Below are 22,401 nucleotides of genomic sequence, written 5' to 3'. Positions count from 1 at the left end.
AGGTTTTCTGGGAAGAGAAGTCGTGGGGAGCTCTCAGTTTGTTAATAAATATTAATACTTTTGGCCAAATTTTGAATTTTTTATGTCACTTGTTTTATTTCATTTTTGAAAAACAGCACTTTATTTCATTTAACTCTAGCATATTCAATGGCTGTGCATTTAATAATACTGAAATAAAGTCGCACCCAAAATGTTAGCAAAAAAATGGAAACTATATATGGTAGTGACCTCTACAAATGTTTTAAGCTTGAAAAATTCTGCACGAACGCAGACACAGGTTAGTCTGCCAAAGTTACTCAGATAAAAATTTCTCCAACCCTCAAGTCATAATCATAGTTGAGAAATGAATAAATGTGCCTTATGGCACCTCCAAACTTTTTGAGATTTTTATATAAACTAGCCTATACTTCTCTCCTTACGATTAGCATATGGGGTAGCTATTTTTCTTTAACAGAGATTCTTCAAATGTAGCTAGGGTTAAGAGAAACGCTGGCGCTGCCTCTCAGGAAGCTGGAGAAGCAAAAGAAAAAATTAAGAGTTAAGGGCCGCCGGGCTCGGTGGCTCACGCCTGCAATCGCAGCAATTTGGGAAGCCGAGGCGAGCGGATCACGAGATCAGGAGATCGAGACCAGCCTGATCAACATGGTGAAACCCCTTCTCTACTAAAAATACAAAAATAGCCGGGCGTGGTGGAGCGCGCCTGTAATCCCAGCTACTCGGGAGGCTGAGGCAAGAGAATCGCTTGAACCCGGGAGGCGGAGGTTGCAGTGAGCCGAGATCGCGCCACCGCACTCCAGCCGGGGCGACAGAGTGAGACTCCGTCTCAAAAAGAAAAAAAACAAGAGTTAAGGGCCAAGTCAATCCAACCGCGGCCGGCGACTGGAGGCTGAGCATGGCTGGCGATCTGGGGCTGCAGATCACGGCGCAAACCCGCTCACCTCCACCCCTCCCGCGCGGCCGCCGGCGCGCGCCCGTGGCGTCACGGCGTCGGGGTGGAGCCGGCGGCAGGGGCCAGGCCTCTCTAGGCTCTCCGGCTGAGCCGGGTTGGGGCCCGGGTTGGGCCGCCCGGGGACTCTGGAGCATTGGGATTTGTAGCGCGCCCTCTGGGTAGGCGGCTGTAGCGGAGAGGCGTGCGGGATCGGGATGTCGGGGCTGCTCACGGACCCGGAGCAGAGAGCGCAGGAGCCGCGGTACCCCGGCTTCGTGCTGGGGCTGGATGTGGGCAGTTCTGTGATCCGCTGCCACGTCTATGACCGGGCGGCGCGGGTCTGCGGCTCCAGCGTGCAGAAGGTGACTTGGGGGCGGGCGTGGGGCGCGGGTCTGACTGGGTTTCGCTGAGTCCCGGGGTCCGGCCTCGGGAGGCGAGCGGGCAGGCCCCACCTACCGCCCTGGACGCGGCCACCTGCAGCACCCGCGGGCCCTGGGGCCAGAACGGCGCGCCCAGACCGGCTGAGTCTTCGCGTTCCCTCCCTCGTCTGGGCTGAATCCCGCGCGCCCTTCCTGTCCAGGCTGAGGGTGCCAGGGGCCCGGTGTATGACCTGGGCCGCTCGCTTGCCTCTTGCCACCTGGGGAGCCACCTGTCCGGCCTTACCTGGATGGGACTGAGGTGACTCGCCGGACGGGACTGGGCAGGCTGTGCACATCCAGCCAGAGGGTGGTTTGTGAGTTGCTTGGTTCTTCCTGCACTTCCCTGATAGATCTCCCACCACATCTTTATTTACATTTTAATTTTTCAAAACTTTTTTTCTTTTTTCTTTATTATAGCCTTTGGACTTGTGCCTCAATAACTTTTCATATCTTTGTAGAATTTAAGTTTATTCTCTATTCTTCACTTGTCATCTTTATTAACTACTACTCCACAAAATGCTGGTTCCTTACGTGAGCAACTGATTGCCGTGGATATTAGAGGTATTGGGCAAGTTTTGAAGGCTGTGTGGTCATCAGTTTTCTATTTTCCATCTTTGAGAATTCATAAAATTCTTTATTTCCCCTCGTTTGAGAGACCTGCCAAATCATTGGTTGGTTGTTAGTAAAGCCTTGAATTGTTGATAATATTGGTCAGCAACCAACAAATTGATATCCTTCTGTTCTCATATTAATGAAGTGTTGATTTATACACAATTGTCAATGCACCAAAAATAATATTTATTTGTTATGGTGTTCTTATTGTTGTTCCTTTTTTTCTTTTGAGACAGGGTCTCACTTTGTCACCCAGGCTGGAGTGCAGTGCTGTGATCTCGGCTCACTGCAGCTTTGACCTCCTGGGCTCAAGTGATCCTTCCACCTCAGCCCCCCAAGTAGCTGGGACTACAGGCAAGGGGCCACCATGCCTGGCTAAATTTGTTTGTATTTTTTAATAGAGATGGGATTTTGCCATGTTGCCCAGGCTGGTCTGGAAATTCCTGGGCTCAAATAATTCACCCGCCTCGGCCTCCCTAAGTGCCAAGATTACAGGCGTGAGCCACTGCAGCCAGCCTGTTATGGTGTTCTTATTTTCTCTTCCCAGTACCAACATCTTTTTATGTTAGAAATTTGAGGGAGGGCCGGAGCCATCAGTTACCTAACCATTCCCAGCAGCACTGTATTCCCCCTTTTTCTCAGTGTCCCGTTCTTCTTCCCACCACCTTAGAGGTGTTTTTCTTTGTAGCACTTGCCCAGGAGCAAGGTCCAGCTAGAGTGCCAGTGAGTAGTGACTGCTTTGAGCATTTGTTCTGGGGAAACATCAGACTTCCTTCCATTAAGTTTTTCTTTTTTTTCTTTTTAGACGGAGTCTCGCTCTGTCACCCAGGCTGGAGTGCAATGGCATGATCTCGGCTCACTGCAACCTCTGCCTCCTAGGTTCAAGCAAGTCTCCTGCCTCAGCCTCCTGAGTAGCTGGGATTGCAGGCACCCGCCATCATGCCTGGCTAATTTTTGTATTTTTGTAGAGACAGGGTTTCGCCATGTTGGCCAGGCTGGTCTTGAACTCTTGACCTCAGGTGAACCGCCTGCCTCAGCCTCCCAGAGCACTGGGATTATAGGCGTGTGCCACTGTGCCCGGCCTCCATTCAGGTTTCAGGACCAAGACAGTGGAACTGGGATTGTAGCAGCTCCCTGGTCCCTTCTCTGGCTAGCTGTGTGGGAACACTGCCCACCCACCCACACACTATCCCTATCCCAGCCTGAAAAGAAAAATGAAAGGCAGACACCACCCTTCAGTGACTGGGTACTCATTACCTTTCTAAGAGTATTTATCACAAAAACGATACTTTTTAAAGTCTCCCTTATAATTCTAGACACAAAGTACTTTTAAGCACTGTTTTTTTGTTTGTTTTTGTTTTTCTTTTAAGGAATTGAAATATTTGGAACCAAAGGGAGAAATGAATTACTAGAAAATGCAAAGTTTCACAGTTAATATATAATTTGGGGCAGATCATTAGTTTTTTTAGGAATGAAGTGAGGAATCTCAAAGATGGATCAAGATTGCTGTGAGTGGCAGGAGGCCAGGAAGATTTGCACAGACTCTAAACTGTGGAAAATGTGTCTGGATAAAAGAAAGATATGAGTAAATAAAAATACAAAAAAAATGCCTGCTCTTCCCGGATAAAGCACAGTCGTAGATTAAGAAATGTGCAGCAATGCCTCTCTGTGTGGTAGGAGTTTATAGCAGTACTGCTTAAAGTGTAGTTACGGGGCTGCTGGGATTGAGATAATAAAAGAAAACTAAGCATTTAGAAACTTGTGTAGCAACTTAGCAGAATAATTTTATGTCTATTGACTCTAGTAATGAAACGTTTGGGATTTTATTTTGTATGCCTTTTTTTTCTGGAAACTTTATAAAAATTATTGTTATTTTTAGAGACAGATTCTAACTCTGTCCCCCAGGTGGCCTGATCACAGTTCACTGCAACCTTGAACTCCTGGGCTCAAGCAATCCTCCTGCCTCAGCTTCCTAAAGCTCTGGGATTACAGGCACGAGTTACTGCACTAGGACTAGAAACTTAATTGTATCTTAAAAATTGCTGGTCCACAATGAATATAATTTTTTTTTTTTTTGAGATGGAGTCTCGCTCTGTCGCCCAGGCTGGAGTGCAGTGACTGATCTCGATTCACTGCAAGCTCCGCCTCCCGGCTTCATGCTATTCTCCTGCCTCAGCCTCCTGAGTAGCTGGGACTACAGGCGCCCGCCACCAAGCCTGGCTAATTTTTTGTATTTTTCATAGACATGGGGTTTCACCGTGTTAGCCAGGGTGGTCTCGATATCCTGACCTGGTGATCCACCCGCCTCGGCCTCCCAAAGTGCTGGGATTACAGGCATGAGCCACTGCGCCTGGCCAATGAATAGAAATTTTTTAAAAAAACAATTAGCAACTGGTCCTTTACTGCAGATAATTTGAGTTTTTTGGGAACAAGGATCTTGTTGGTCTACATTGCTGCTTAGTACCTGGTTTATTACCTCATTGTTACAGAATAAATAATTGAATTGCAGTTAAAATGTTAGGAATTCATGGGGCTCTATGACTTAGACACAGAACTTGATTGTGTTTATTCTGTCAAGTGAAAATTACACCTCTTGTAATATTCCAATGGAAAGAATGTATAATAGAAACCTAAAACCTCTTAGTGTATGATTTGATTATACTGGGAAAGAAATTTTTAAAAAAGAAAAAATAAAGAGATTCCCCTTTGTAGACAAGAACAAAATAGGCTGTGAGAAGACGTCAATCTTACTTCTTGTGGCCTTTATTTTTTAAATGTTTAACAGTAGAGATACATTTTTAGCTTTTTTCTGTAATTTGTATTTTTAAAAAATCTTTCTTAGGGACTCTTAAATATACAAATTAACTACTAGAAGAATATTTTGTGTTGGAAACTCCACATATGAACATTTGATATTTTGGTTTGAAAAATGGAGAATATTTATCATGTTCCCCAGTGGAACATCATGCCATTATGAGAAACTATAAAAAATGATAATGTCTTGGTTGGAAGAACAGGACAGAAAGGTCACTCCAAAGAGTAATACTGTGTACTCTATGTACATGCTTGAAAAACAGACTAGGTGGTTGTTGTCTTTTGTTTTTAATAAAAAAAAATTAACTTTTATTATATACTTGATCTAATTTTGGTTTGGTTCTCCTGTAAAAGAACAGATTTCACTACTGCAACTTGTTTGGGGATGGTATGTGACATCCTGATTGGTAAAGTGGGGGGAAGTGACCCTGAGTCAAGTCTGAAGGTTTATAGCCTTGAAATAATGATATCCACATTGAGTTTTCTGGGGTAAGAAAGTGTTTCTTGTAGTTAAACTATTACAGTCTGTAGTCATAAAAGCCTTGCCTAGAAAGGGCAGAAGTATTAATTGACAGAAGGAGAATAGATTGTGTTAAATCTGTTTTTTTGATGAGCTCACTGGGGAATAAGAGATTCTTTTTCCACATCACCTTGTGTAACACTTATACTCCCCATATTGTCACTGTATCCTCAGAGTTCCTTTTTTCTTTATTTTGGCCTTTTCATACTACATGTTAGAAATTTTCCTTAACTAGTGATCTTGATTGGTTATCTGCATTTTTTTGGTACCATGCCTTGCCCTGGCACTTAGGTATATCTGTCATTTGCAAGTACAGAACTCTGGTTCAACCCCTCCAGAAATAAATCTCTTACGTTCTCTTTCTGCCAGGTTAGGGAGGGGCAGTGATCTGGCTGGAGGAAAGGAATTGGGGCTCCTTATAAAGACTTTGAACCAGTCCTACGTACAACCCCATCTGGCATCCCAGCTTTCAGAGGAACCTCTAATTTCCAGAGTTCCACCCTAGAATCTCTGCCCTTTGCTTACGGGCATCACTCTCATAGTTCACTCATATGTTCATTCATATACTCACTTTATATTTATGGAATATCTAAGAAACCATAGGCACTTCTAGATGCTGGGGATAAAATGAACTAAGGAGACACATTCCCTGCCCTCTAGGAACTCACATTCTGAGGAGAAGGGTAGAGGTGACCTGACTCTGGTCTTATAGGCCATTATAAGGAATAATGGTTTTACTCTGAGTGAAATGGGAGCCAAGGTGAGTAGAGGTGCAGTGTAATCTGAGCAGGCAGTGAGGTATTGGCATTTCCTCCTCTGTCCTAAGCCATGTACCATCTGCCCACTCACTGTTCGTATTAAAAACATTTGTTGCCAGACGCGGTGGCTGACGCCTGTAATCCTAGCACTTTGGGAGGCTGAGGCGGGCGGATCACGAGGTTAAGAGATCAAGACCATCCTGGCTAACACAGTGAAACCCCGTCTCTACTAAAAATACAAAAAATTAGCCAGGCGTGGTGGCGGGTGCCTGTAGTCCCAGCTATTCAGGAGGCTGAGGCAGGAGAAGTGTGAACCCGGGAGGTGGAGCTTGCAGTGAGCTGACATTGCGCCACTGCTCTCCAGCCTGGGCAACACAGCGAGACTCCGTCTCAAAAAAAAAAATTTGTTAAAATCTGGTCTGATCCTATTTGCTCTTCTCTTTGTCCTTGTGCATTTAAACCTTGTTAATGTTTTCCTTTTAATAGACTGGGAGGAATTGGAGATACATGCATATGTTTAAGCCATCATTTTGACTTGAAGCCATAGATTTTTATGAAATTTGTTTATTGATTGATTGATTGAGACAGTCTCCCTCTGTCTCCCAGGCTGCAGTGCAGTGGCGTGGCCACAGTTCACTGTATCCTCTACTTGCTGGACTCAAGTGATCCTCCCACTTCAGACTCCTGAGTAGCTGGAACTACAGGTGTGGGCCACTACACCCTTTTTGTATTTTTGTAGAGATGGGGTTTTGCCATGTTGCTCAGGCTGATCTTGAACTCCTGGGCTCAAGCAATTCTCCTACCTCGGCCTCCCAAAGTACTGGATTACAGGCCACTGCATCCAGCATACAAAATTTATTTTATTTTTTAAGTTAAAGTAAAATCGACTTTTGGTGTATAGTTATGTGAACTTTAGGACATGTGTAGAAGTAATCCCCAAGCTCCCTTGTGTTACTTTATTGTAGTCACATCTCCCCACTCACCTAACCTCTAGTAACCACTGATCTGTTTTCCGTAACACAGTCTTGTCTTTTTGAGAATGTCATATAAATGGAATCATACAGCAAGTAGCCTTTTGAGACTGGATTTTTTTCAGCATAATGCCTTTGAGATTTGTCCATATTGTTATGTATATCACTTGTTTATTCTTTTTTATTTCTGAGTAGTATCTATCATATGGATGTACTACATTCATTCACCTGTTGAAGTACATTTAGGTGATTTCTGGTTTCTGGTGATCATTAATAGAGCTGCTATAAACATTAGTGTACAGATTTTAAGGGGAATATTAAAAAGCTTTGAACCAGTCCTGTGTACAACCTTATAGGGTAAATTTCTCTAGGGTAAATACCTAGGAGTGGGATTGCTAGGTTATATGGTAAGTGAATGTTTATCTTAGCAAGAAATTCAGAGTGGCCATACCATTTTGCATTCTCATCAACAATGTATCAGAGTTCCAGTTGTTCCACATCCTCATCAATACTTGGTATCATTAGTTTTTAAAACTTATTTGATTTGACTTGCATTTCTCTAATGGCTAATGATGCTGAATATCTAACTTCATGTACATATTTGTAATCCACATGTTTTCTTTAGTGGAGTGCTTGAAGTCTTTTGCCCATTTTCAAATTGAGTTCTTTGTTTTCTTACTGTCGAGTTTTGAAATTTTTTATATATTCTGGATATTAGTCATGTGCTGGATATGTGATTTGTACATATTTTCTACCAGTCTGTACTTTTGTCTTTTTATTTTCTTAACAGTATCTTTTGCAGAACAAATGTTTTTAACTTTGATGAAGTCCAATTTATCAACTTTTTGTTATATGAATTATACTTTTGGTGTTCTAAGGACTCTTTGCCTAACCCCAAGTCACAAGAATTTTCTCTTGCATTTTCTTCTAAACATTTTATAGTTTTACATTTTACATTTAGATCTTGATCCATTTTGAGTTAATTTCTGTAAGTTGCAAAGTTTGGGTTGAGGTTGATTTTTTTTTTTTTTTTTTTGAGATGGAGCCTTGCTCTGTCGCCCAGGCTGGAGTGCAGTGGTTTGATCTCGGCTCGCTGAACCTCTGCCTTCCGGGTTCAAGCAATTCTCCTGCCTCAGCCTCACGAGTAGCTGGGACTACAGGTACCACTGCCACACCCAGCTATTTTTTTTTTTTTTTTTGTATTTTAGTAGAGACGGAGTTTCACCGCGTTGCCCAAGCTGGTTGTGAACTCCTGAGCTCAGACAATATGCCCGCCTCAGCCTCCCAAAGTGCTGGGATTACAGGCGTGAGCCACCATGACTGGCCTGATTTTTTTTTTTTTTTTTTGCATATGGATGTCCAATTGTTACACCACCATTTGTTGAAAAAACTATCTTTTCTCCATGGAATTGCCCCTGTACTTTTGTTGAAAATCAGCTAGTCATATTTGTGTGAGTCTATTTCTGGACTCTGTATTCTGTTCCATTGATCTATGTGTCAGTTTTTATGCCAATAGCATACTATTTTGATTACTGTAGCTTTATAGTAAGTCTTGAAATTGGGTAGTGTGCCTCTAACTTTATTCTTTTTTTTCCTCTCTGACTTTATTCTTTTTCAACGTTGTTTTGGCTATTTTAGTTTTTTTGCCTTGCATAAATTTTAGAATCTACAAAAAATACTATTGGGATTTTGTTATAGAAATCTGGGATGGCAGTTCTTTTAGCACACTGTAAATGTTGAGCCACTTATTTCTGGCTTTCATGGTTCTGATGAGAAATCCACGGTCATTTAAATTTTTGTTCTGTATATGTGAAATGTCTGGTTTCAAACTTTTTGCTTTTAGTTTTCAGCATTTTAATTATGATATCTGGGTGTGTAATGCTTTGGGTTCATTCTGGTAAAGTTTTCCTGAGCCTCTTGAATATATAGGTTTCACTGAACTTGGGCAGCTTTTAGCACTGTTACTTCCCTCAAGTGATTTTTTTTCCTGTTCTGAACCCTTTCTTTTCTTCTTTGGAGACCCCTGATTAAACAAATATTAGACCTTTTGCTATGTCCTGGGGCTTTGTTCTTCTTTTTCCTCCAATCTTTTTTCTTTCTGTTGTGCAGATAATTTCTATTGGTCTATCTTCAAGTTTATTAATTTTCTTCTATCTCCCTTCTGCTATTGAGCCCATCCAGTAAGTTTTAAATTTTGATCAGTACATTTTTCAATTCTAAAACTTTTCTTTTTTATGTCTTTTATGACTTTCTTTTTTCTTTCTTTTTAAAATGGGATATATTTAAGCCATTCTTCATGATGTCCTGATATACTGACCTTGATATACACATACGTAGTTAAATGATTACTGCAGTTACCGTTGCTGAGACTGTCTTTCCATTTGTTGCAAGTGTATTCACTCCTCTTGGAGTATTTTCATAATAGCTGCTTTAGACTGTTTATCAGATATCTGTGTCATCTTGGCATTGACATTTCTTGATTATCTTTTCCAATGTGAGTTAAGATTTTTCTGGTTCTTCATATACCTTGTAGTTTTGGATTGTATCCAAGAAATTTTGAATATTATGTTAAAAGACCCTGGGGTTTTTATAAATCCTATGAGGATTTTTGTTGTTTTTCTTTTAGCAGGTATTTATTGCATTTGGGTTCAGGCTACAAATTCAGTCTTCTGACTGCAGTTTCAATGTCAGATTTGTTTTCAAAATCTTGGCAGTACTATTTGGATCTGCCCTGTGTGTGTGCAACCTAGTAGTCAGTCTGGGACCTGGGCAGTGATCTATCCTTTAGTTCTGTTCTTAGTATTTTTGGTATAGTGTTTAGGATTACATCCATGCAAGTGCAGCTTTGGGGTGAGCCTAAGAGTTCATACACAACTTTCTGTGGTATCTTTTCCAAGTTCCTCCCTCTCTGAGATGGTTCTGGTACTTTTTGATTCCCTGAACCTCCCCTGGTGGTCCCCGGCCAAAAAGCTGGGGCTTTTATTACTCCACTCGGCTGGGTATGTCTGGGGTTAGGCAGCAGAAACACACAGAGAAAAAAGCCATAGGGGTTGACCACACCCTCTTGGGATCACCGCTCATCTGATTGGAGAGGAAGTTTTACCTTCCTCAGGATTTTAGGTACCTGTTGAGACGCACCGATACCATTATTAACTGCTGCTGCCACTGCTGCAGGATTTTGTGGGTATAAAAGTATGGAGACAAGGGAAAAAAGAAAAATGGGAGATCTGCCCCATTTCCTCTGAGTGTTAGGAGTTCCCTTTCTCATTCTTTGAGCCAAAACAGTAGAGCTTATCCTGGCACTTCCTCTGTGCCCTAGCTCCCAGTTCTGGTTTTCAGGATGTCTTGAGTCTAAGCCAGGGGATTTCAGAAGAAAAATGGGAAACTCACCACCAGTTCCATGGTACCTGAATTCTTATCTACTTCCCCAGTCCACCTGCTGCCATATACTTTTTAAGAGTCCACAATGGCTGCTCCATGCATTCTGTCCAGGTGTTATATTTGTATTTAGCGGAAGAGACAGGGTGGAGTGTGCTTACTCTATCGTGGTCTGAACTGGAATTCACTTTTTTTAAAATTTATTTTTAATTTTTTAAAAGCCTTTTTTCTTATTTTAAAAACACACCTTCTTGTAGAAAACTTAGAAAATAAAAGTAGAGATAAACAAAGCTAAAGTCTTCTGTGAACTCATGAGTTACTGCTATTTGGTGTTGGCATATAGTCCTTTTTTATCTCATAAATGTGTCTTTTTCAATTTTAACAATAAAAATTAATTAGATAATAAAATCATGTTAATTATTTTAACCAGTAGTTTTGAGACCCAAAGACCCATACTATTGACTTGATCTAATGCTGTTTTTACTAAATCTTCTTTTCCTTAATAGGTAGAAAATCTTTATCCTCAAATTGGCTGGGTAGAAATTGATCCTGATGTTCTTTGGATTCAATTTGTTGCCGTAATAAAAGAAGCAGTCAAAGGTAATTGGATTTATAAAAATAACAATAATCTTTATGGTTTTTTTTTTGTAATAGTTTTCCTCAGGCTTCTGTAGTTGTGGTTTTCCTAAGTTATACATATATATAGTATTTTATTGGGATTACAGTTTCCCAGTATTTTTCAACGGAAATTTGTAATTCACAGTGAGCTCCTTTGTCAGGGAAAGGTAACATCTGCTGTGTCCTCTGGTTTGTCTCTTTTCGACTGTAATATAAATGCTCGCCATTTCCTCATTCCAGGTTATAGCTAGTGCTGTTTTGATTTCCTGTTTGGCACAAAATACCAGAGGATTATAAACAGAAGTTACAGTGTATAGCTTCTACTCTCATGGGTTTACAACTGAGTTATTTCTATTGTAAAATGAGTTTTTATTTGTTTTTTTCTGGCCATTTGACATAAAGTGCTTTCCTGGCCAAAGCTATGGTCTAAGTCTTAGTTCTTTAAGAATGTTAGAAACATTCTTAAACATTGACAACATCTCAAAACATTGAAATGGCCACCTTGCTTGAGAACATGGCAAAGATTACTTGTAAATTCTGAAAGATCTTTTACTTCATTTTTCTGGCTGAACTGCTTCTTCTCATCTTTTTGGTTTGAAATATTTCAGTCTATGCAAAAGTTGCAAGAATAGTACAATAAACTCTTGTATATCTTTCTCATAGATTCAAACATATTTTGTAATATTTACCATTTTCTGCAAACTGTTTTTTTCTTTCTGAACCATAGGAAAGGAGTATTTTCTCCTATAACCACAATGCAATTATAACACTCAGGAAGTATAACATTAACACAGCACTGTTTTCTAATACTCTGTCTTCAGTATTTGCTCTTGTCTTAGTGAAAACAAAAAACAAAAAAACTTCTTTTTTCAATCTAGAACCCAGCCAAAGAGGAGGCATTGCATTTAGCTGTCAGTCGGCTTAGGCTCCTTTCATCTAGAGCACATTCTTATGACATTGGCAATTTTCAAAAGTACAAGCCAGTTTAGTAGAGTGTCCCTCATTTTGAGGTTTTCTGATTGTTTCCTCCCAGTTAGATTCAGGTTGAATAACTTTGGAATACTATATGGGAGTTGATGTGTTTTTCTCAATGCTCAAATTGAAGTTGTCCCAGATTTTCCCGGTGGGATAAATAGATTTTTAAAGAATATCACAAAAAATACTCGAGTTGCTATATTTTAAGAAATTTGGACCAAAAAGTCAATATTTTTGTTTGCATCCTGGCATCAGTTTGTGTTGAAAATAAGGTCTCAGCTTCAATAATTAGACTACTTTCCTTGAGAGTTTTCCTTTATTGTCATTAACCAGCTTCTATTATGATTGATCATTGCTTAAATTAAGATCCAATCTTATTATTACCAAGAAAAAATAAATCTGACATACTTTGAATAGTATTTGTTTTTTTCCCAGCACCTAAAACAAAAAAAGCTACTTTGTTATTCAGAAACAACCTTTAAGGCCGGGCACAGTGGCTCACACCTGTAATCCCAGCACTTTGGGAGGCCAAGGTGGGCGGATCACCCGAGGTCAGGAGTTTGAGACCAGGCTGGCCAACATGGTAAAACCCTGTCTCTACTAAAAATACAAAAAATTAGCCAGGCAGGGTGGTGCACACCTATAATCCCAGCTATTTGGGAGGCTGAGGCAGGAGAATTGCTTGAACCCGGGAGGCAGAGATTGCAGTGAGCCAAGATTGTGCCACTGCACTGCAGCCTGGGCAACAGAGTGACACTTTGTCTCAAAACAAAAAACACAAAAACAAAAAACAAGAAACAACCTTTGTTTTCTTCAAGTAAAAAAAAAATGCTGCAGAATCATCTTAGTAATGCTTTATTTGTTAATTCCAGTTGTTTTGTTAGAATGCTAAACCCAGGTATTTTTCTTAAAGATTATATTGGATTTCTTTTTCTATATTGTAATATTATAAAGAAAAATATCACTGGCTTTAAAACATGTGTTTTATCCATCTTTACTTTTAGCTGCAGGAATACAGATGAATCAAATTGTTGGTCTTGGCATTTCAACACAGAGAGCAACTTTTATTACGTGGAACAAGTAAGTACATTCTGTGATAAGCACCCTACTGCTGGGTTCATGCCACAGTGAGTACACGGTTATGAAATCTCTTTGGGGAGTTTTAACTTTCTGAATTGAGAATAGTTTCGTTTGGTTAAGAGGGATGAAATGTGCCTGCTTTCTGGCTTGTATGCTCACTGCATGTCATTTGGGCTTGACTTATATTATATAATACCACAAAAAGACTTAACTGTCATTAAAATTATCCATTTCTTTCTTTCGGGTAAGTTAGCTTTTCAAACAAGCATAGATCAAAGATCTAAAAAATTATACCTAAAAAGAGTCAGAGGAAACTCACAAATTTCAGAAACACAGTACTGTACTATGGTTTATATTTTCAGTCTACTCTAAATTTAATATTTGTCTATAGCGGCCAGGAGCGGTGGCTCACGCCTGTAATCCCAGCACTTTGGGAGGCCGAGGTGGGCGGATCACGAGGTCAGGAGATCGAGACCATCCTGGCTAACACGGTGAAACCCCGTCTCTACTAAAAATACAAAAAATTAGCCGGGCGAGGTGGCGAGCGCCTGTAGTCCCAGCTACTCGGGAGGCTGAGGCAGGAGAATGGCGTGAACCCCAGGGGGCGGAGCCTGCAGTGAGCCGAGATTGCGCCACTGCACTCCAGCCTGGGCGACAGCGAGACTCCGTCTCAAAAAAAAAAAAAGAAAAAAAAAAGAAAATATTTGTCTATAGCATATGAGGCATATATACTCTAAACACAGTTATAATATTGTAATAGCTACTGTATAGTAAACATCTGTGACAGTCCCAAGTTCCATTATCCTTACAACAAACCTATAATTTAGGCATCATATCTGTTTTTACAGAGAAATAAGTTGTTCAGGGTTGCTCAGGGAGCAAATAGAGCCAAGATTCTAAATTGTCTTTTTGACTCAGAAGCGTATGTTCTTTATACTATCCCCATATTGCCTTCAACATGTTTCTTTCTTTTTCTTTTTCTTTTTTCTTGAGACAGGGTCTTACTCTGTTACCCAGGCTGGAGTGTAGTGGCATGATTACAGCTCACTGCAGCCTCAACTTCCCAGGCTCAGGTAATCCTCCCGCCTTAGCCTCCTGAGTAGCTGGGACTACAGGTGCACTCCAATATGCCTGGCTAATTTTTTTGTATTTTTTGTAGAGACGGGGTTTCACCATATTGCCAAGCTGGTCTCGAATTCCTTGGCTCAAGCAATTCTTCCACCTCAGCCACCTCCCCCAGCTAGCATGTGTTTCTCTGTGTCTTGGTTTAAACACACACCCACATTCCCTCCCCCAAAATCCCCCCGCCCACGTACCCACACACACCACTGTAAAATGTGTTTTTGTTAAAGCATTAGGCTCCAAAGGACATCTTGAGCTTGGGCAGTGGGAAAGAAAAGTGAGCAGAGGGGGAAAAGATGAATCTGAAAAATATAATTAGGGTGAATTCACAAGGACTTGGCTTCTAATTCAGTATTGGGCAGGAAGAAGAAATTTGAATTTACCAATACTGCTGGCCTTGATGTTTGGGCTGTATGATAGAAATCATAGAGAATGTAAGGAGGAATGGGCTGGGTAGTAGTGAGAGTAGGTAGAAGGAAAAATGATAAAATGTTTGGTTTTGGACGTGTGAATGTGGAGATATCTCAGAGGTGACTAGAACATTGGTTTAACTTGGACTGAGGCATAGCACATCTCCATCAGATAGGATCTTTTTATTTTCATTTTTGGGGGATGAGGTCTTCACTTTGCTACCTAGGCTGGAGTGCAGTGGCACGATCATAGCTCACTGCAGCCTCGAACTCGTGGGCTCAAGGGATCCTCCCACATCAGCCTCCCAAGTAGCTAGGACTATAGGTGTGTACCACACTATGGCTGGCTAATTTTTAAAATTTTTATAGAGATGGAGTCTCACCATGTTGCCTAGACTGTTCTTGAACTCTGAGCCTCAAGTGATCTGCCTGCCTTGGCGTCCCAAAGCGCTGGGATTACAGGCGTGAGCCACCATGCTCGGCCCAGTACTCTTTTTTTTCAGGACATGCTGCATCTCAGATTGATGCCTACATCTGCAGTTCCTCTGTGCTTACTCCACTCCCCAGCACTGGCCTTGGTTATGGCAAATCTTAAATAAATCTTATACAGTAGTATATTGTCAGATGAAGGGGTGAATGAATTAAACTTACCTGTACAGATAAGGTATCTAATCTTAGTGACCCTGTTGACATTTTGAGCTGAATAATTCGTTGTCATGGGGACCGTCCTGTGGTGTTGCAGCTGTTCAGCAGCATCCCTGGCCTCTACCCACTAGATGTCAGTAGCACCCCAGCCCACCTCACCACCATTTGTACCAACCATAAATGTCTCAAAACATTGCTGAACGTCCCCTGGGGACATCCCCAATTTGGAACCATTGGTGTAGATGAAGTCTCAAAAAATAGGTGTGTTCTCTGGTAGAGATTATGTGGAGAAAAGAAAAGCAAGCTAAGGATTTGGACTGCGGGTCCCTGCTCCCACCAAATTTAAAGTGAGTCAGGGAAGAAAAAGCCAGCAAAGCAGGACCAACGCTAATCTGGGAAGTGGATGGATGAAAGTGGAGGGAGGAGTATTCTCAGGGAAAGAACTGATTGGATGTGTCATATTCACTTGGCCATTGGCCCCAGTGATTGCTTTCATCAGGACCTGGCTACCATATCACTCATGACAGTAAGGTCGGAATATTAGGAAGCAGAGTTTTTGTCTGATGCTAGGACTATACATCACCATTAGAAGGAATAGAAGAGTTAGATTTCAAGACAGTTCACTTTCCTTACTGGTGGTGGTGGTGTTGTAGAGGGATAAGACTTCTTCCTAAAGCAATTCATTGTGAGTTTTTTATCTTGGCTGTCCTTTTTTCTTTTTTGAAATGTTTGTATTCTTTCATGAGTTTTGGGAACATTCTTTGCTTGTAGAAACTGAAATAGTGGATATTTTTTGAAGAAAGACTGAAAGCCTTTGTGCTTCTTTTACATTAAAATAATGGAGCGGAGCCTATTCTGCTCATTGGGCCCCAGGGAGCCAATGTGGTGTATGATGCTGACAGATTCCACAAGAGCCCTAGCAAACAGCCGGGACACAACACAGATGGGCACAGCACAGGGCCAGCCAGAAGCACTAATTGTTCATTTGTGAGAGAAAAGGAGAGACAGACTAGATCCTGTGGAAAAACCTATTGTTCGTTCCAGTCCTGGCCAGCAGCTCCTCCTCCCAGCTTGTTGTTTTTTTCCTCCTGCATCCATGGTGCATTTCTGTCCTCATGGCCATAGAAACATTATTTTCCTCACAGTTGCTGTCAGGAGGTCTAAAACTTTGAACTTTCTTTTTGTTTTTCTCCCTATCTCTCCCCCATCCCCCTGTTAGGGACCAGGAAACTTACGAACTTTTTTCAGTCTTTGAGCTTTCTTCATGTTCTTCAGGTTAAGCTTTTTTTCCAATATATTCAAAAAGTGGTGTGTTTAGCCTGCTTTCTAAAATAACTCTAACTGATAACACTTCCATTTTGGTTCTTTTAAATTCCTTTTGTTCTAAAAAAAAAAAATCACGAGCTGTTTTGTTTCTTTAGTCAATGTCTCTTGGGAGATTTCTGCCAGCTAACTTCAGATCAGGGTGTGTGCCAATTAGCAACACAAACTGTGAGTCATGGGAGCCTGGATTCACTCATAACTGTTTGAGGGCTCACAGGGAGTAATGCACCGTGCTGGGGGCTGCACTGCGTATACAGATGAATAAGAATACCAGCCCTAATTTACAATCTCATTATATAGGTACACAAATTACTCTATATTCCCATTGCACAAAATAGATTTTTATTGTAGTATTTGATACTTACATTAATGAGTCTTACCAAATACTTATGACTTAAAATATATTAAGAGCCACAGAATGATGTAAAGTGTTAGAAGGGTTTAAGACAATTAATTTACAACATTGCCATTTATACTTTTCCTTCATTTTTCCTTTTTTTGTTGATAGAGATAAAATAAACCCAGGTCAGTGCTGAGTGAATATTGGAATGTATGCTATTACTTGAAAAATCAGTATTCTAGATTGTCTTGTTCTATGTTATAAATTAATGATGCCACTTTCATCTTGTGATTTTGTCTCTCCCCCTCACTGCTTTTCAGCCACACTAGCCATTCAGTTCCTCTAAGACACGCTTTATCTTGCTCTAGGACATTTGAACATATAGCACATTTTGTTGGGAATGTTCATACTTCTGATTCCTTCTTATCCTTCAGAGCTGAGATCCATTGCCATTTCTGAAGCCTTCACTGACCACCACACAGGGGCCATCTGTTAAATACTCTCATGGCACCTCTATTTATCCATTTTTTTTTTTTTGAGGCGGAGTCTCACTCTTTTGCCCAGGCTGGAGTGCAGTGGTGCTATCTCGGCTCACTGCAAGCTCTGCCTCCCGAGTTCACGCCATTCTCCTGCCTCAGCCTCCCGAGGAGCTGGGACTACAGGTGCCCGCCACCGCGCTCGGCTAATTTTTTGTATTTTTAGTAGAGACGGGGTTTCACCATGTTAGCCAGGATGGTCTCGATTTCCTGACCTCGTGATCCGCCTTCCTCGGCCTCCTAAAGTGCTGGGATTACAGGCGTGAGCCACCACGCCCGGCCTCTATTTATCCTTTATAGGGCGTATTCCAGCTGTAAGTGAGCAACTGAGTAATTGATTATTTGTTTACATTCCCTGGTAGAAAGTACAGTCATCAGGGCAAAAGTGCTGTGTGTCTCTGTTCATAGCTGTGTACCCAACTCCTGGTACAAATTGGCTTATAAATTTTTGCTGAAACCAGTGATTGAACATCAGATTTAAGTGTATAAGTATGTGCTGTTGTAGAATGGCTCTGAAGAATTATATATCAATAGATTTTATCTTTATCAAACACAATCTGATCTTTGACAAAGGTGCTAAGACCAGCCAGCAGAACAAGAATAGTTTTTTCAACAGATGGTGCTGGGAAAACTGAACATTCACATGCAAAAGAATTAAATTGGACCCTTACCTAATACCATATACAAAAATGAATCCCAAAATGCATCAAAGACCTACATTTAAAAGCTTAAACTATAAACTAAAAACTCTTAGAAGAAAACAGGAGAAAATCATCATGACTTTGGATTTGGCAGTGATTCCTTAAATGACATCAAAAGCAGTTAACAAAATAAAAAATAGATAAATTGGACTTTATATATCAAAGGACATTTATTTTTTCATTTGTTTATGATGACTAATTTTTCAATTTTCTTAACTATTGGAACTCTCCAAAGTAGAAAAATTACCCTAAATTTAATTATAAATAATAAGTAAGCTATGTTAAAATTAATTTGACATAATGTGCAATTTGCATTTAAAAAATGTCTGAAAAAATTTAGTCATTGATATCTAATATGCAGTTAGGCTTCAGAAAACCACCTGCAGCATGTAACGTGGAAGGTGTGCATCTTGGTAGGTTTGATTTGTAATTTCATCCAAGATTGAGGACTAAAACAATAGGAAATCACTCCTCTGATTTGTACTCATGATAATGGTGACCATTTGGATCTCTAAAGCGAAAAGAAGTAACATGCTCATGATCTAGGTAAATGTTGCGATTTCCATTAATAAAGGTGAAAAACAGGACCCTATCAACAGAGTGAATATTGCGTGATCTGGCCAGCAGCCCGCAATACAACGGGGCTCTCTCTTTGTTCCTAGGTGGATCAGCAGGTTGAGAAATAATAGACACAAACAAGATAGTGAAAGCTGGGTCCAGGGGGGTCACCGCCTTCTGGTCCTGCGGTGCCAACAATGCACTGGATATACCAGCATTTATTATTAAGTTTAGTGAGGGCGGGGGTAGGTTAGTGAGAGATTTAGGGTCATTTGATTATGAGGTGAGATGGTCACATGGGGATGAAGTAATTCTTTAACATAACATTTGTATGTAGAAGTACAGTACATTTGTATGTAGAAGTACAGTATACAGAGATAAGAATTTACAATATAATGTGTGCATCAGTAATTTCTAACAGAGCCTTAAAACAGAAACACAATCTTTCCATAACCTATGATTAGCAAGATATTGATCAGCAGTAACAGTTGCAACAAAAGCTGGTTAGAAACAATCCATGGAAACAGGACGTGAAGCTAGACAACCAGTTAGACCAGAAATTCTCAGAAGGGAGTATGTCTTAACCCTAAAGAGGCCTAGAAGAGCCGTGGCAAGATGAGGGCGTTTATAGCCCTATCTTATCCATATGGATAGGCACCCCCCTCATGCGTCCGTTTATAGGCTCTCCACAAGGGTCACATTCCATTCCCAGAGCTATGAACATCTGCTTTTCTGGGATAGGAATCTTGGTGATGTGAAACCTCCCTGACTGCATGTCCATTCATAGGCTTTCTGCAGGGGGAAGCACATCACCCGCTGTTGGCTCATTCTGGCAGTCCAACCTGGCATTGTCTTTACACAGTCCTACATGCAATTTTGTATTTACAATAATCAGGAGCATTTCATCTTTTATTCTGTAGCCATAGTTTCAGGGGGTCTCCCTACATCTCCCCCTTTTCTCTGATTTAAATGAACCGTAGCAATCATAGGTTGGTGCTGATCACGATTGGATTGAAGAATAATTTTTCCAATTTTACACGTGAACAATAAACCAATAGCACAAATTATACACAGAACAAAATTAACGATAGTGGATCCTCCCAAAGATTTTACCCATTGAATAGGGTTGAGATTAGATAATCCCTCAGAGATACTGTCTAAAACAAGTCATGGAATGGGAGAAAATATTTGCAAATTGTAACCTCGAAGCATGTAACATATTAATCCCTAATCCCTAGTAAGGGGTTAATATCTAGAACATGTAAAGAATTCCTACAATTCAACAACAAGAAAGCAACAATGCAGTTCATAAATGGACAAAGGACTTGAGTAATACACAGATGGTCAATAAGCACACACAAAGATGCTCAATGTCATTAGTAATCAGGGAATTGCAAATTAAAACCATAATGAGATACCACTTCACACCCACTAGAATGGTGAGAATTTTAAAAAAAGGAAGATAACAAGTGTTGGTGAGGATTTGGAAAAATTGGAACCCTCATACATTACTGGTAGAAATGTAAAATGGTGCAACGACTGCGGAAAACAGTTTGCCAGTTCCTCAAAAAGTTAAACATAGAATTACTATATGACCCAGCAGTTCCACTTCTAGGTATATACCTAAAAAAATTGAAAACAAAGACTCAAACAGATACTTCACAACAATATTAAAGCAGCAGTAATCACGATAACCAAAGAGTACAAACAACCCAAGTGTGTACCAACAGATGAATTGATAAATGGTATGTAGTATATAAATACGTTGAAATATTGTTCAGCCATAAAACGGAATACATTTCTGATACATGCTACAACATGGATCAATCTAGAAAGCTAAGTTATATTATACTACGTGAAGTAAGCCAAATATAAAAGAACAAATATTGTATAATTCTACTTATATATGATATACCTGGAATAGGCAAATGTATAGACACTGAAAACAGAATAGGGGCTATAAGGGATGGGGTGAGGAAGGAATGGGGAATGATTTCCTAATTGTTATAGAGCTTCTGTTTGGGGTGATGAGAGTTTTAAAAACAGTGGTGATGGTTGCACAACGTTGTGAATGTACTTACTGCCACTGAATTGTACACGTAAAATAGGTAAAATGGTAAACCTCATATTATGTATATTTTGCCACAATTTTTTTTTACAGTTAAGTATTAGAGAGTGCAATGGCAAGCTATTAAAGTAATAGACCATGAGATATGGGAAAGTAGCCAAAGTTAGGAGTGGTTGGTCGGAAGAAAAGGGAATGTTTGAGGGATTAAAGGTTGCAGTGAGTTGGAAGGCCAGGTATTTAAGGAGTAAGATTGAGAAAACTGAAAACTTTTCTTCCTATGTGCTGACTAATATTGGAGCATTAGACTTTGAGTGGTAGACCATGTAAAGGTGAGGATATGACCATGGGTGTGGAATGCTTAAGTAGAGAATGAATCTTAGCAATTGAACATGGTTCAGGTCTCACAGGAGGAGGCCTGGAGTTGGGGTAGAAAGCAAACTTGACTTGGATGTTGATTAGTAGATGCCAGAGGTTGATTTGCGGGAGCCGCAAAGGAAAAAGGATTTTTTTTTTTACTTCTATATTTCTTAGCTCTGTACTTTTATTGTAGTATTGACCCAAGAGTTGTTGAATTTCTATTTATTGGAGAGATTTTGGTAAGCATGTTAGGTTGCCAATGGCTAAGCCAATCCTAAAGTTAACAGATGTAGAACTAGGCTCAGGCAATATTTCAGCTCTTCTGTAGGTCAGGAGGTTTTTGTTGGATTACGTGTATCAGGACAAGTGCAGTAAAGGGGAAAAGCATTGGCTTTTAAAAAATCTGCTTTTAAAGTGTGTAGAGCAGGTCTTCAAAGGCCTTTTCCTTAGTTAGTTTTGGTTTTGGAAGTATATACATTTCATACTATATGTCACATAATTGTTGTGCAGTGTGTTCAACTTATAAAATCAAGAAGAAATCATTCAGAAAGGCACATGTAACTAAATTATACTTTGCAATTACAGTATGGCCTCTAATTTTGTTTTCTCTTATGGCACATCTTTAACATAGTCTCTGATTTATGCTGGGTCTCAAAATACTGTTTTATTCTTTCTAGGAAAACAGGAAATCATTTTCACAACTTTATAAGTTGGCAAGACTTAAGAGCTGTTGAACTTGTAAAATCTTGGAATAATTCTCTTCTTATGAAGGTAATCTTTTTCTTGTGTGATTTGGATATTGTTGGTTTTTTTTTTCTGTAAATGTCCCTTAATTGTATTATTTCCTACCTATTTTGTTTTAGGACATTAAGAAGACATACGCACACACTCCCCATTCCAGTGAAGTTTAATAATAGCCAATCAAAGGCGTATGTGGTAGACTTCAGTACTTGTACCTCAGGAAGTTCTAAGGAGGTTTGTGGTGGACCAGAGTTTCACATGTTAGTGAGAATTTGTGTTTCTGTCCTTGAGAAATGGAAAAGATACAGACTAGATGAATGAAATGCCCAAATTTCATCTTTTATAAAAGCTCAGGATGGATATTGAGATATTATAGATAACTAGCAGACTGTTAGAAGCTCTTATCATTACAGGCATGATGGCTCGCGCCTGTAATCTCAACACTTTGGAAGGCTGAGGCAGGGGGATTGCTTGAGGCCAGAAGTTCAAGACCAGCTTGGGCAACATGGTAAGACCTCATCTCTACA

The 22,401-nt window shown here is 40.3% G+C and overlaps 1 protein-coding gene across 4 annotated transcripts in view, besides 2 other annotated features; it reads left to right on the top strand.

Moving 5' to 3' along the window:
- Positions 831-1,070: a silencer, noted in NCBI's record as "silent region_14789". NCBI's record gives its function as "represses an Ori minimal core promoter by ATAC-STARR-seq in GM12878 lymphoblastoid cells {active_cell/tissue: GM12878}" and the evidence as "EXISTENCE:reporter gene assay evidence [ECO:0000049][PMID:35858748]".
- The window catches only part of GK5 (glycerol kinase 5), a 68,059-nt gene continuing 46,671 nt past the window's right edge, over positions 1,014-22,401 (top strand). For 3 of the 4 annotated variants that reach the window (NR_033289.2, NM_001039547.3, XM_047447897.1), the window contains exons 1-4: positions 1,014-1,290; positions 10,907-11,000; positions 12,998-13,073; positions 21,811-21,904. Coding sequence is in view for 3 of the 4 variants with exons in the window: in NM_001039547.3 (NP_001034636.1) it covers positions 1,144-1,290; positions 10,907-11,000; positions 12,998-13,073; positions 21,811-21,904 (411 nt within the window). In the remaining variant the exon portion in view is untranslated. Of the gene's footprint in view, positions 1,291-10,906; positions 11,001-12,997; positions 13,074-21,810; positions 21,905-22,341; positions 22,383-22,401 lie in introns of those variants that run through there. The other variant, XM_024453436.2, reaches the window with a different exon arrangement.
- Positions 1,261-1,480: a silencer, noted in NCBI's record as "silent region_14788". NCBI's record gives its function as "represses an Ori minimal core promoter by ATAC-STARR-seq in GM12878 lymphoblastoid cells {active_cell/tissue: GM12878}" and the evidence as "EXISTENCE:reporter gene assay evidence [ECO:0000049][PMID:35858748]".

The sequence above is a fragment of the Homo sapiens genome, chromosome 3, assembly GCF_000001405.40.
Source record: "Homo sapiens chromosome 3, GRCh38.p14 Primary Assembly".
In the NCBI taxonomy this organism is placed as follows: Eukaryota; Metazoa; Chordata; class Mammalia; order Primates; family Hominidae; genus Homo; species Homo sapiens.
This window is presented reverse-complemented; position numbering and strand designations above follow the sequence as displayed.